Source organism: Homo sapiens, chromosome 11 (assembly GCF_000001405.40).
Source record: "Homo sapiens chromosome 11, GRCh38.p14 Primary Assembly".
Classification (NCBI taxonomy): Eukaryota; Metazoa; Chordata; class Mammalia; order Primates; family Hominidae; genus Homo; species Homo sapiens.
Window position 1 is genome coordinate 102407031 of NC_000011.10, and position 14602 is coordinate 102421632.

Sequence of the window (14602 nt, forward strand, 5' to 3'; positions counted from 1 at the left end):
TACCAATGAGAACCACACATCTGCCATCCAGAGGGCACCTGTGCCAAATGAAAACATCCCAGCCATCAACCAAACAGCTTTTGTCCCTTAAGCCTCTCTAGGCCTGATTCCATAAGGGTGGCAAACAGCAGAAGTGAGGAGAAGAGGTGGAACAAGGAAGTCAACAACATTAGCTTTGCCACTGCAAGGCTTCTAAGCCCGAAGTAGGCCTGGGCTGGCAGAAGGGACAAGTTTCAATTTTGAATCACTGTAGAGTTTTATTATTTTGGTATTATTCTGGACAGGAGCTGCACCCTACTAAATAGAACTTATTCAGTGAATTGGACATTCTATCTATAACACCTCAGCTAGTGCAGTTGGGAGGGTAGAGCCACCAGGGGAAGGCTGTGTGTGACATACAGTTGTCCATGCTCAGTGTTAAGGGTTGAATTGTTCCCCTCTCCACCCTGCCCAAATTCATACTTTGAAGTCCTAACTCACAGTACTTCAGAATGTGACCTTATTTGGAGAGAGAATCTTTACAAAGGTCATTAAGTCATTAGGTTAGGCTTATTTATCCATTATGGTTGGTGACCTTATTAAAAGTGAAAAGTTGGAGACAGACACACAAACACACACAAAGAACACCCTGTGAAGATGAAGACAGAGATCATGGTGATGTCTCTACAAGCCAGGGAATGCCATGGATTGCCACAAACCGCCAGAAGCCAGAGGAGAGGCATGGAACAGATTCTCTCAAAGCCCCCAGAAGGAAGCAACCCTGTAAACACCTTCACCTCTGACTCCAGCCTCCCGAACTGTGAGACAATCAATTTCTGTTGTTTAAGCCACCCAGTTTCTGGTACTTTGTTTCTGCAGCCCAAGCAAATTAATACACTCAGCTTCAAAGGTTTTTTCATTTATAAAAAATATGTCTCTGTGCAACGGTACAACTGGCACTAGTGATTCTATTGAGCTGGTTCCTTTTGCAGATCTTTGAAACTAGTCACCATGATATGAAGTAAGTCCATAAATACTTGTCAAACCACTCACAAAACTTGTTTTAATGAAAGTTGAGATTATCTATAGATGTCAATCAGAGATATAAGAACTTCTCTATTTAACTCCTGGTTTCAACTAACATAATTACAGGAAAAATGAAGCAAAGGGCTGTAATAACACCATCCATGCACCTTCCTTCCCAGCAGCTGCAGTGTTCAGCCCACAGTGAAAGACGACAAAGAATGCACACGTGGCTATGAGTGATGTCTGGCACTGCTGTAAAAAATATATTCCAACAGCCCAATCAGTTCTTCATTCCTGTTTGGTGGTAAAATTATTACTCCTAATTTTTCTGTGATTAGAATTAGAGCTTCCATTTGCTGGCTCTTCTTTTTACCAAGCCTGGTAATGTTACCTAGGCATGGTGAGTATAAGCTCAAGCTCTGGATCAGCTCAGCAATTTACTTGCTTGGGTACCTTAGGCAAGTTACTTAATCTCTCTGAGATTCACTACCCTTTCTGGTCTATAAATCAGGGCTATCACAAGAGTCTGGGAGAATTCACTGATATAATCTGTGTTAAGTACTTCCCACAGTCCCTGAGAAGTGCTCAATTAATTCTTTATAACCATTAATTTCATTAAATGTAACTCCCCTACAGAGCTGCACTGTACAATTCCCTATGGGAGGCTGAGGAGTAGGCACTGTGAGATATCCGAGCTCCCATGGTTACCGTAACTACCATCCGAGTAACATCTTATGGAAGAACACACTACTGGGATATTTTTGATTTATCAATGCAAACACCCAAAAAGAAGAAAGTGAGGCCCAGACCTTTTTCTGTTAATACCAGACAGCCACCATATTGCAACAAGGCCAAGGACACTGTGAAGCAGTCCATTTTTCTAGTTTCAAGTAAAAGTACTCCTCAAAGTCTGGATTCATTCCGACTATCTCTGCTGTGTTGAAATAACTTAACCTTATTCCTATAACCTTGAGTCCAAAAATATTTATTAAATATTTAATAATATTATTCTCCTTTAACCTAAATATCTCAAAGTTAAGGATGACAATTTGTTTTCATCAGGGCATCAAATACACACTTAAACCAGAGTTGAAAATACACATCCAATTTTTAAAAATCTCAGTTATTTTTAAATGGGACAGTAGCAGCTTTTCATTTCCTAGTATAGTTGTCAAAAGTACTAAGCTATTCAAGACATAAACCATAAATTTCTGGTGCCATAGTTATTTTGAGGGGTCTGTGATTCTAAGAATGGTCTGCAGCTTGAGTAAATTTAAGAACTCTTATATGGGGTTCTGGGAATTTTTTAAAACATGAAAACCTTGAGAATCTCTTTCCTATAGAATTTACAACCTTACCCCATCAACTAAATATCAGTGTAATTCCAGAAACATTCATTGCTTAGAAAGCAAAGAGGCCTTTCCTCATTGCACGGAGTCAACAGATTCATTCTAAACATTCTTCTGAATTCAAATTACCTGGAGATCAAAAATCCACACTATTGAAAATCTAGATTAAAAAAAAAAAGATCTTTTAAAAAACCTAGACAGGCCGGGTGTGGTGGCTCATACCTGTAATCCCAGCACTTTGGGAGGCCCAGGCGGGCAGGCGGGCAGATCACCCGAGTCAGGAATTCGAGACCAGCCTGGCCAACATGGTGAAACCTTGTCTCTACTCAAAATATAAAAATTAGCTGGGCATGGTGGCGGGCGTCTGTAATCCGGGAGGCTGAGGCAGGAGAATTGCTTGAACCTGGGAGGCAGAGGTTGCAGTGAGCCGAGATCACGCTACTGCTCCCCAGCCTGGGTGACAGAGCAAGACTCCGTCACAAACAAACAAACAAACTAGATAAATCTAGATTCAAAAAAAAAAAAAATCTAAGAGAAAACTGAGCTTAAAAAAAGTCACATCATGATAAAGAACTGTACATTTTCTGAAAATGTTTTATAAATTCCTGAATTTTTAAACTCAAAAACTAAAATTTAAAAAGGGAAAAACAATTGTATATGATCACAGAAAAGTAACAACTAGGGATTCCAATAAGTTACAGTATATCTGCAGTAAATTTACTACCACATTTTAGTTAAACTATCATTCATTCCACTAATATCTATGAACATAAATAGGATGTTTGTTTCCTCTGGCAATAAATGAAAGAGGCACTTCCAGTTAAAGTGATAATGACCTGTCTTAAGGACGATGAGAACTAACAACCGAGACATAGTTCAGGTCTGTGTAAGGAAACATAGCCTGAAAGGTGATCCTGTTCATTCCCAGAACTGGAATTGAACTGCAAAGAAGCTGAGCAGAGAGGGTGAGAAAAGCAGCCTGGCTTCCTAGGGGATGAGACTACCAGATGGGCAAAGTTGACGGGGCACTGTAGACAGTGTCCAGGCTTCCTTACGCTTTTCCCATAGGTCTTGCCCATTCCATTCCGTTTCCACAGACTCAATCCACAATAACCCCTGTTAGTTACAAAAAAAAAAAAAAAGCATGAATCACAGCCACAAGAGCATCAGGCTAGACTGATATTTTCCCTCTGTTCCTGCTCAAAACTCCCCAAGCCTCTCATCCTGGCATCCTTGCTCTCCAGGGAGCAGAATTCACTCTGCTATTCCTCCTTATCACACCCCTGTTAGGCTGACAGCTTGCTCCTCCCTCATGTCTTTCCATAGGCTGGTTTAGTACCTTCTCTGTACCGAGAACTATGCTAGGAGGCTCTGCACACACAGAAGAGACGTGATCCTTATCAGCATGGAGGGTGGTCTAGTAAGGACAAGAAGGAAACAACACAGTTACAATATGTATGCCAGGGGCCAGTTTGATTTTCACCTCCTCCTCAGGCAATTTCCTTTCTATCGAACACCTACTGTTCATTTTTCTGAACTTTTATTATTATTTTAAAAATTAATGTATCTTGTGTGTTACAATACAAAATATATTTGGTCTTTGTCCCTGGTTCCTGGCACAGAGTTTCTAAAATCCCTTGGGATTTTCCTGAATGATGGGAGCGTCTTTGGTTATTCATGAGGACCCCCCCTTTTGCTCAAACCTGAGTTTTTGGCTAATCAACTGCCATAGCATAGGGCCCACAGATAGCCTCAGGATGGGCTCCTCACCAGAAATACCAGGTGATTAGCGGGTTGGAAGTTTCAGCCCCATCCATCAACCTTTGGGAAAGCTAGAAATTAAGCTCTATAAAAACTCCTGTACTGAGATCTGAGGGGCTTCTGAGTTGGTGAACACATGGAGGTGCTGAGACGGCGGTGTTCCCAGAGAGCGTATCGAAGCTCTGCGCACCATTCCTCCACACCCAGACCTTACCCTAACCATCTCTTCCATTTGGCTGCTCCTGAGTTATATCCTCTATAATAAACCAATAAATGTAAATAAAGTGTTTCCTTGAGTTCTGGGAGCCATTCTAGCAAATTATCTAACCCAAGGAGGGGGTTATGGGAAAGCCTGATTTATAGTTAATTAGGAGTACAAGAGCTGAACGTGCAATTAGCATCTAAACTGAGGGCAGTCTTGTGGGCTGAGACCTTAACTGGTGGGATCTGACACTAAATCCAGATAGGTAGTAGATAGAGTCAGAACTGAATTGGATTGTAGGACACTCAGCTGATGTCTGAGAACTGGCAGAGGTGGGAAAAAAAAAAAACACACATCTGGTGTCGGAAGTGCCGTATGATTATAGAGAAACAGTATTTTCCCAGGTCTTGTTTATCTTTTCAAATGAATTAATTGTAAGAACGATGTCTTATATTTTCATTTCATTCTATCAAAGTGTCAGACACAGTTCTGGGAAAACGTGTGCAAGTGCCTAGCACAGTCTGGAGCATATACAGTTGGGGGGCACCCAAGGTATGTCTGAACTCTTCACCATTACAGACAAGGCCCCAGTTGCCCTCTGCTGCCTACCCTTCTGCCCCAGGAGGAAGATCTATCTACCACCTATCCCCTAGCAGGCAGTTCATTTTTATTTCTGTTGCTTTGTTATGTTACTTCAGGTGCCTGGGCTGCTTCCCACCCATTCTCAGCTCTGCGAAATTCTACTCATGTTCAAGAACCAGTCTATACATCATATTAAAGGTATATTAAAAGCAAATAGAGGCCAGGCACGGTGGCTCATGCCTGTAATCCCAGCACTTTGGGAGGCCCAAGGGAGGCGAATCATCTGAGGTCAAGAGTTCAAGACCAGCCTGACCCAACATGGTGAAACCCTGTCTCTACTAAAAATACAAAATTAGGGCATGGTGGCGCATGCCTGTAATCCCAGCTACTCAGGAAGCTGAGGCAGGAGAATCACTTGAACCCAGGAGGCGGAGGTTGCAGTGAGCCGAGATCGTACCATTGCACTCCAGCCTGGGCAACAGTGCAAAACTCCATTTCAAAAACAAAAGCAAACAGAATCAACAGGCCATTTAAAAGACAGAGATTATGAGACTGGATTTAACTGTTTATAAGTAATACAACTTAAATATAAGATATAGAAATGCTAAAAAGTATTGAAAGTAAGAGTAAAGAAAAGAAATTTTACAATACAACTACTGGCCAGAAAAAAAAGATAACAACTCTATTAATATCATATGCAAGTCTTTAAGGTGAAAAGTATCACTAGAAATTTTTTAAAAAGAAAAGACATCTCATAAATGGATTAATCTAACAGGAAAATATATTTCATATACAAGATGAGAAATATATAAAACAAAATACGATAGACCTGATGGAGAAAAGTAGATACTTTTTATAGAGTTGGACTTTTGTCAACATCTCTAAGCAAAAGAACAGACCCCAAGAAATTCATAAGGAAATGACAGGTTCTCAACAATGTTAACAAATCTGACTTCTTCACATACCTTCAATGTACCTAAAAACTACAGAAATCTTCACACGCTAATTCCCAAAGGATGAGAAAATAAGTAACATATTTCTCAATTATTGATAAAGTAAAAAAATTAATTTAAAAATATTTTGATAAGGAACCTATGACCTAAAAACTTGTGGGATGCAACTCAAGTTATGCTTAGAGAGATTTATAGCAAAAATGCATATATTGGAAAGAAAGGTAAAATGAACTTTTGATGTGAGAGTAAGCTTAAAAAATGCACACCATCTTCCAGCAACTCATACAAATGTTTCCATTTCAGAGAAATTTAAGAACTTTTGAAGGCTGTATTCCTCTTAAATGTGAGACTTATACTTCAGAAGTTTCTATTAAGGTATGTGTTAATCCACACCAAGAGAAAGAACTTGGAAAAACTTGCTCTGTCAAAACTGTTGGAAACCATCTCGAGATGGTTCCTCTAGCTAGATAAGTTTAATTAAAAGTGCATGCACCACTGGTGTACATGTGCACGGACCCCACCACCCCATCACCACTGGCACATACACATGGACCCTGCTGCCACCGTCCTGGCAAAGTGCTTTTGCTGGCACCCCCACATTGGAATGTTATTGCCAGTGGACCAGGAACACCTAAGTCCCTCCAGCACGGCAGGTGCTTAACTTCGAGGGGCCAGAAAACAAAGCTGTAGGCCTGGTCCCAGACCTCCAGGGTTAGAGCACACAGCCCCGGAGTGCTGAGCTAAGCCTTGGCCCCCTGAAAGCATTCTGAAATAAAGCCAGTCAAATGAACCCAACTTATGCCACAGTCAAATCAAGGGCATCAAAGAATATAAAAGCAAAAGCCTCAAAGGACAGCAACTTCAAAGCCCACACAGCTGAGAAAGAACCAGCGCAAGAACTCTGGCAACTCAAAAAGCTGCAGTGTCTTCTTACCTCCAAAGAACCATACTGCCTCTCCAGCAATGGTTCTTAATGAGACTGAAATGGTTAAAACATCAGACATGGAATTAAGAATCTGGAGGGCAACAAAGATCAAGATTCAGGACAAAGTTGAAGCCCAATCCATGGAACCTAAGGAATCCAGTAAAATGACACAAGGGCTGAAACACAAAATAGCAATTTTAAGAAAGAACCTAACTGATTTGATAGAGTTGAAAAATTCATGACAAGGATTTCAAGTATTAACAACAGAAGAGACCAATCTGAGGAAAGAGACTCAGAGCTCAAAGACTAGTTCTTTCAATCAACTCAGTCAGACAAAGAAACAAAAAAGAATGAAAAGAAATGAAGATAACTTCCTAGAAATATGGGATTATGTAAAGAGACAAAAACCTACAACTCACTGGCATCCCTGAAAGAGAGGGAGAGAAAACAAGCAATCTGGAAAACATATTTGAGGATACTGTCCATGAAAATTTCCCCAAACTCACTAAAGAGGTCAACTTTCAAATTCAGGAAACTCAGAAAACTCCTGCAAGATACCATACAAGACAACCATCCCCAAGACATATAGTCATCAGATTCTCCAAGGCCAACACAAAAGGAAAAATACTAAAGACAGAGAGAAGGGGCAGGTAACTTACAGAGGGAACCCCATCAGGCTAACAGCAGACCTTTCTGCAGAAACCCTCTAAGCCAGAAGAGATTGGGGGCCTATATTCGGCACCCTTAAAGAAGAGAAATTTCAACCAAGAATGTCGTATCTAGCTAAGCTAAACTTCATGAGCAAAGGAAAAATAAAATTCATTTCAGACAAGCAAGCACTAAGGGAATCCATTACCACCAGACTTGCCTTAGAAGAGGTCCTTAAGAGAGGGATAAACATGGAAATAAAGGGCTATTACAAGCCACCACAAGAACACACTTATGTACACAGACCAATGACACTACAAAGCAACTACACAACCAAGTTTACATAGAAACCAGTTAACAACACAGTAACAGGATCACATCCACACATATCAATGTTAACCTTGAATGTAAACCAACTAGATGCTCCACTTAAAAGGTACAGAATGGCAAATTGGATAAAGAAGCAAAACCTAATCGTAAGCTAGCTTCAAGAGACCAGTCTCACCTGCAATGACACCCACGGGCTCAAAATAAAGGGATAAAGAAAAATCAAGCAAATGTAAATCAAAAAACAACAGAGGTTGCTATTCTTATTTCAGACAAACTTTAAACCAATAACAATCAAAAAGGACCAAGAAGGGCATTACATAATGATACAGGGTTACCTCAACAAGACAACTTAACTATCCCATATAAATATACACTCAACACTGGAGAACCCAGATTCATAAAACAAGTTCTCAGAGACCTATAGACTCTTAAGATAACCACACAATAGTGGCGGACTTCAAAACCCCACTGACAGTATTAGACAGATCACTGAAGCAGAAAACTAACAAAGATATTTGGGACCTGAACTCAACACTTGACCAAATGGATCTAACAGATATCTACAGAGCACTCCACCCAACAACAGAATATACATTCTCCTCATCTGCACAAGGCACATACTCTAAAACTGCACATGACACATACCAAATGCTCAGCCATAAAGCAATTCTCAACAAATTACGATTCTCAAAATCATACCAACCACACCCTCAGACCACAGCATAAAAATTTAAATCAGTACCAGGAAGATCTCTTAAAGGAAATTAAACAATCTGCTCATTACTAACTTTGGGGTAAACAATGAAATTAAGGCAGAAATAAAAAAATTCTTTGAAACTAATGAAAACAAAGCCACAACATATCAGAATCTGTGAGACATGGCTAAAGCAGTGTTAAGAGGAAAGTTTACAGCTCTAAATGCCCACATGAAAATGTTAGAAAGACCTCAAATTAACAACCTAACTTTACACCTAGGGGAACTAGAAAAACAAAAGTAAACCAACCCCAGTCCTAGCAGAAGAAAAGAAATAACCAAAATCAGAGCTGAACTCAATGAAATTGAGATGTGAAAAAACATACAAAAGATCAATGAAACCAAAAGTTGGTGGTTGTTATTATTATTATTATTATTATCATCATTATTTTTGAGATGGAGTCTTGCTCTGTTGCCCAGGCTGGAGTGCAATGGTGCAGTCTCAGCTCACTGCAACTTCCACCTTCTGGGTTCCAGTGATTCTCCTGCCTCGGCCTCCCAAGTACCTGGGACTACAGGTATGTGCCACCACACCCAGCTAATTTTTGTATTTTTAGTAGAGACAGAGTTTTACCATGTTGGCCAGGCTGGTGTCAAACTCCCGACCTCAGGTGATCCACTCACCCTGGCCTCCCAAAGTGTTGGGATTACAAGGTGTGAGGCACCATGCCCAGCCCAAAAGTTGGTTATTTGAAAGAATAAATAAGATTGACAGACTCCAGCTAGACTAATAAAGAAAAAAGAGAGAAGAGCCAAATAAACACAATCAGAAATGATAAAGGAAACATTACCACCAACCCTACAGAAATACAAAAAACCCTCAGAGACTATTATGAACACCACTACGTATACAAACTGGAAAGCCTGGAAGAAGAAATGGATAAATTCTCAGAAACACACAACCTCCCAAGACTGAACCAAGAAGAAACTGAAACCCTGAACAGATCAATAATGAGTTCTGACATAAAATCAGTAATAAAAAAAAATCTACCAATCAGGAAAAGCCTTGGACCAGACCGATTCACAGTCAAGTTCTACCAGACATATATTAATAAAATATAAAATTATTCCAAAAAATTAAGAAGAGATTCTACCCTAGCTCATTCTATAAGGCTAGCAACATTCTGATACCAAAACCTGGCAAAGACACAACAAAAAAAGAAAACTTCAGGCCAATATCCCTGATAAACATAGATACAAAAATCCTCAAGAAAATACTAGCAAACTGATCCACCAGCACATCAAAAAGCTAATCCACCATGATCAAGTAGGCTTTATTCTTGGGATGCAAGGTTGGTTAAACATAGGCAAATCAATAAACGTGATTTATCACATAATGTGAACTAAAAAAACCACGATCATCTCAGTAAACAAAGAAAAGGCTTTTAATAAAATTCAAAATCCCTTTATGTTAAAAACCCTCAACAATCTAGGTATTAAAGAAACATACCTCAAAATAATAAGATCCATCTATGACAAACCTACGGCTAACATCATACTGAGTGGCCAAAAGCTGGAAGCACTCCCTTTGAGAACCAGAACAAGACAAAAATGCCCACTCTCACCACTCCTATTCAAGACAGTACTGGAAGTCCTAGGCAGTCAGACAAGAGAAAGAAATAACAGGAAACCAAGAAAAAGTCATAACAGGTAACCAAGAGAAAGTCAAACTCTCTCTTTGCAGATGATGATTCTCTAACTAGAAAACCCCAGTCTCTGCCCAAGGGCTCCTAGATCTGATTAACAATTTCAGCAAAGTTTCGGGATGCAAAATCAATGTACAGAAATCAGTAACATTTCTATACACCAATAATGCCCAAGCTGAGAGCCAAATCAAGAATGCAATCCCATTCACAGCAGCACTCCCTTCCCCCACCACAAACATACAAATACCTAGGAATACAGTTAACCAGGGAGGTGAAAGATCTCTACAACGAGAATTATGAAACACTGCTCAAAGAAATCAGATATAACACAAATAGAAAACCATTCCTTGCTCATGGAGAGAAAGAATCAATATTATTAAGATGGCCATACTGCCCAAAGCAATTTACAGATTCAGTGCTATTGATATCAAACCACCGTAAGTGGAAAAAAGCTCTTCTAAAATTCATATGGATCCAAAAGAGAGCCCAACTAGCCAAAGCAATCCTAAGCAAAAAGAACAAAGCTAGAGTCATCATGCTACCTGACTTTAAACTATACTACAAGACTACAGTAACCAAAACAGCATGGTATCGGTACAGAAACTGATACACGGAACAATGGAACAGGTTAGATAACCCAGAAATAAAGCCTCACAACTACAGCCATCTGATCTTTGATAAAGTTTAAAAAAAAAAAGTGCAATGGGGAAGGGACTCCCTATTCAATAAATGGTACTGGGATAACTGGCTAGCCATAAGCAGGAGATTGAAACTGGACCCCTTCCTTTCACCATATATGAAAATCAACTCAAGATGAATTAAAAAGACTTAAATGTAAAACCTAAAACTATAAAAACCCTAGAAGACAGGAAGGGAGGGAAGCAGAAAAAAAAAATAAAACCCTAGAAGAAAACCTAGGAAACACCATTCTGGCCATTAGCCCTGTCAAAGCTTTCATGACAGAGACACCAAAGGCAACTGCAACAAAAGCTAAAGTTGAAAAGTGCAACCTAATTAAAGAGCTTCTGTACTGCAAAAGAAACTATCAACAAAGTAAACAGAAAACCTATAGAATGGGAGAAAATATTTGCAAATTATGCATCTGACAAAGGTCTAATATCTAGAATCTATAAGAAACTTAAATGAACAGGCAAAAAACAACCCTTATTGAAAGGATATGAACAGACACTTCCCAAAAGAAAACATACACATGCAGCCAACAAGCATATTAAAAAAATGCTCAACATAATTATTAGAGAAATGCAAATCAAACCACAGTGAGAAAGCATCTCACACCAGTCAGAATGGTAAAAAATAAAAAAATAACAGATACTGGCAAGGCCATGGAGAAAAAGGAATGCTTATACACCGCTGGTGGGAATGTAAATTAGTTCAGCCACTGTGGAAAGCAGTTTGAAGATTTCACAAAGAACTTACAATAGAACTACCATTTGACCTAGCAATCCCATTACTGGGTATATACCCAAAATATAAATCATTATAAAGACACATGCACACATACGTTAACTGCAGCACTATTCACAATAGCAAAGACATGGAATCAACCTAGATACCCAACAGTGGCGGACTGGATAAAGAAAATGTGGTATTAATAATATACACCATGGAATACTACACAGCCATAAAAAGGAATGAAATCACATCCTTTGCAGCAACACGGATGCAGCTGGAAGGCATTATCCTAAGCAAATTAACACAGAAACAGAAAATCAAATACTGCATGTTCTCAATTATAAGTGAGAGCTAAACAATGAGTACACAATGGACACTAAGAAGGGAAGAATAACACACCAACACCTGCCTGAGGGTAGGACCAGGGAGGAGGATGAGGATGGAAAAACTACCTATTGAGTACTACGCTCATTACCTGCGTGATGAAATAATCTGTACACCAAACCCGTCACACATGATTTACCCATGTAACAAATCTGCACATGTACCCTCGAGCCTAAAATAAAAGAAAAACAAAAAGTGCATGCATTCAAGTTTATGGCTTTTCATGTTTACTATTCTAAAAATTAAGGTACACGTTGTACTAAAAACGTTCATTCATTCATTCATCCATATTTAATTTCAATCCTTATTCATGTTTCCTCATATCCTGAATAAGTACTTTTAGCTATCAACATCAATTGTCAAACCAGGGTTAATCATGTACCTTGTATACCTGCCTGGACATGAAATTAATCCAATGGTGTGAGGCAAGAAAGGTTCCTTCACAAACCTCCAGAAGGAGTTTTAAATGGTACTCTAGCAAGAAATCACCAAGAGAACTAGAAAGTCTCCTCCTTCATCAGCTCTCAGCTACCTAAACTCCCCAGGGCAACTGCGTGTCCAGTCTGTTAGACAATGGCTTTTTAAAAGCATTTTTTAAACTACTTTTAAAAGTCAGTATATTCCACACTAGCATTATACCCTTGAAGACATAAATAGTAAAGTGAGCTCAATAGGTCTCTATTAGAAGAATAATGAGATGGCTGAATAAGGAACAGATTTATTTAATCTAAAAGGAGAATTCAATTTTTCTATTTAGGAACACAAATTATTAGTGTGGATTAGAGGTATTAAGATGGGGTGGGTAGTTCTGCCTGCATTTCTAGCTGCAAGGCAGCATTATCAATTCTATCCATCAGCTCTTCAACATTTCTCCCATGCTTGGAATGGCTTTTATGGATTAGGCAGAAAATGAACTGCTTCTCCCTTGTTTTAAGCCTTGAAATATTAATCCAGGAAATACACTGTAAGCAACTCAGAACTTTTATATTCCCTTCCAGTTACATGCTGAGGCCAAATTTCGTTCTGTAGAAACTTAGAAAGTATACTGGAAGGCAATGGGGAAGAATGGTTTTTATATAAAAATATGCACAAACATGAATTATATAGGAGTTAAGACACTCTGTCTTAGAAACTATTTGCATCTCCAGATCCCTTCCCCATCCTCATCCAGCCTGCTCTCTGCCCTGAGAGGTGACACTTACAGACTGCACTGACAGGCTCCCTTGCCCCCCAAGGCTTCTGGTTAGGTTTGGCCAAAGGGAAAGCATCATTGTTAATGTTTTATATTCCTCACTATTCTTATCAGTTTGTATTACTAACGTGACTAAGAGAACAGCAAATGTCTTTTACTGTCTAGGCATAGATCTGACCTGGAATGAGCTCACAAAAGCTGAGCCCTGTGTGCTCTATAGGTATCTGTCTGTCCCAGCAGTATTCAAAGAATACTTCAACAGTGCTCATTCTGCACCGAACGCTGTTCTAAGTATTTTATAAACATTTGTAATTTTCATAACCCTAGGAGGCAGATGTTATTGTCATCCCCATTTTACAGATGAAACTAAGGCACAAAGAGGTTGAGTAACTTGCCTAGGGTCACAAACTAGTAAGGGGAGGAGCCAAGATTTAGACTTCCTCAGGTTGGCTAAGGAGTCCCTGCACTTCATCACTATTAGGCTGCCAGTCACAAGGAGCAGTATCACAAAGTCAAGAAGCTTTGGTTAGGACAGATGAGTGAATGTGTCAATGTTCCACTGTTAACCTTTAACACATTGCTGACTAAGAATGATAAAACTAGGGGGCCACCGGGCCTGGTGGCTCACTTTGGGAGGCCAAGGCGGGTGGGTCACTTGAGGTCAGGAGTTCAAAACCAGCCTGGCCAACATGGTGAAACCCTGTCTCTGCAAAAATACAAAAATTACCCAGGTGGGGTGGTGCATGCCTGTGATCCCAGCTACTCTGGAGGTTGAGGCACAAGAATTGCTTGAACTCAGGAGGCGGAGGTTGCAGTGAGTCAAGATGGTGCCACTGCACTCCGGCCTGGGTGACAGAGCAAGACTCCATCTCGAAAGAAAACAACAACAAAAAAACTAGGGGATAAACAGACTTTAGGCAGAAAAATAACAACATAAACAAGCTCAGAATTACTCCAAGTATTTTATAAACCTCCACTGGGTATGTACCAAATACTCTTGATATGCCATGTTCTATAAACCTGCATACAAGACATACTATCAGTCTGTCTCCATTATAAAATCCACATGAAATAATAACAACAACAACTTCTCATACTCTAAAATATCATTTTATTGTCACAGCGGGACTAAAATGTGTGAAAAAACACATCTGGAATATTTTGAAATAACATTATTAGAGCTGTATTTGCAACCCTGAAAGGCTGTGCAGGTGGTGCTGTCACTCAGTTACAGAAGATTTATGGTCTAAACACGGGGAATAAGCATGTGTAATGTGCAGCTGCCACATAAGAATTTGGTCATTAACAAGCTCAAAGCACCACAACAAAGAGATATTCAGTCAGCAAAAAAAAAAACTGTCTGCTCGAATGTCAGCACAAAAGAAATCCCTAGAGATGACAACTGTACAGTTTAGTATACTAGTAAATAATTTTAATTCATTGTGTAAAGGCACTAGA

At 39.5% G+C, this 14602-nt stretch overlaps 1 protein-coding gene across 1 annotated transcript in view, besides 1 other annotated feature; it reads right to left on the reverse strand.

The window, feature by feature from the left end:
- TMEM123 (transmembrane protein 123) overlaps window positions 1–14602 on the reverse strand; it is a 56434-nt gene that overhangs the window by 10699 nt on the left and 31133 nt on the right. The window lies entirely within an intron of this gene.
- Window positions 13805–13854: an enhancer, noted in NCBI's record as "active region_5442". NCBI's record gives its function as "activates an Ori minimal core promoter by ATAC-STARR-seq in GM12878 lymphoblastoid cells {active_cell/tissue: GM12878}" and the evidence as "EXISTENCE:reporter gene assay evidence [ECO:0000049][PMID:35858748]".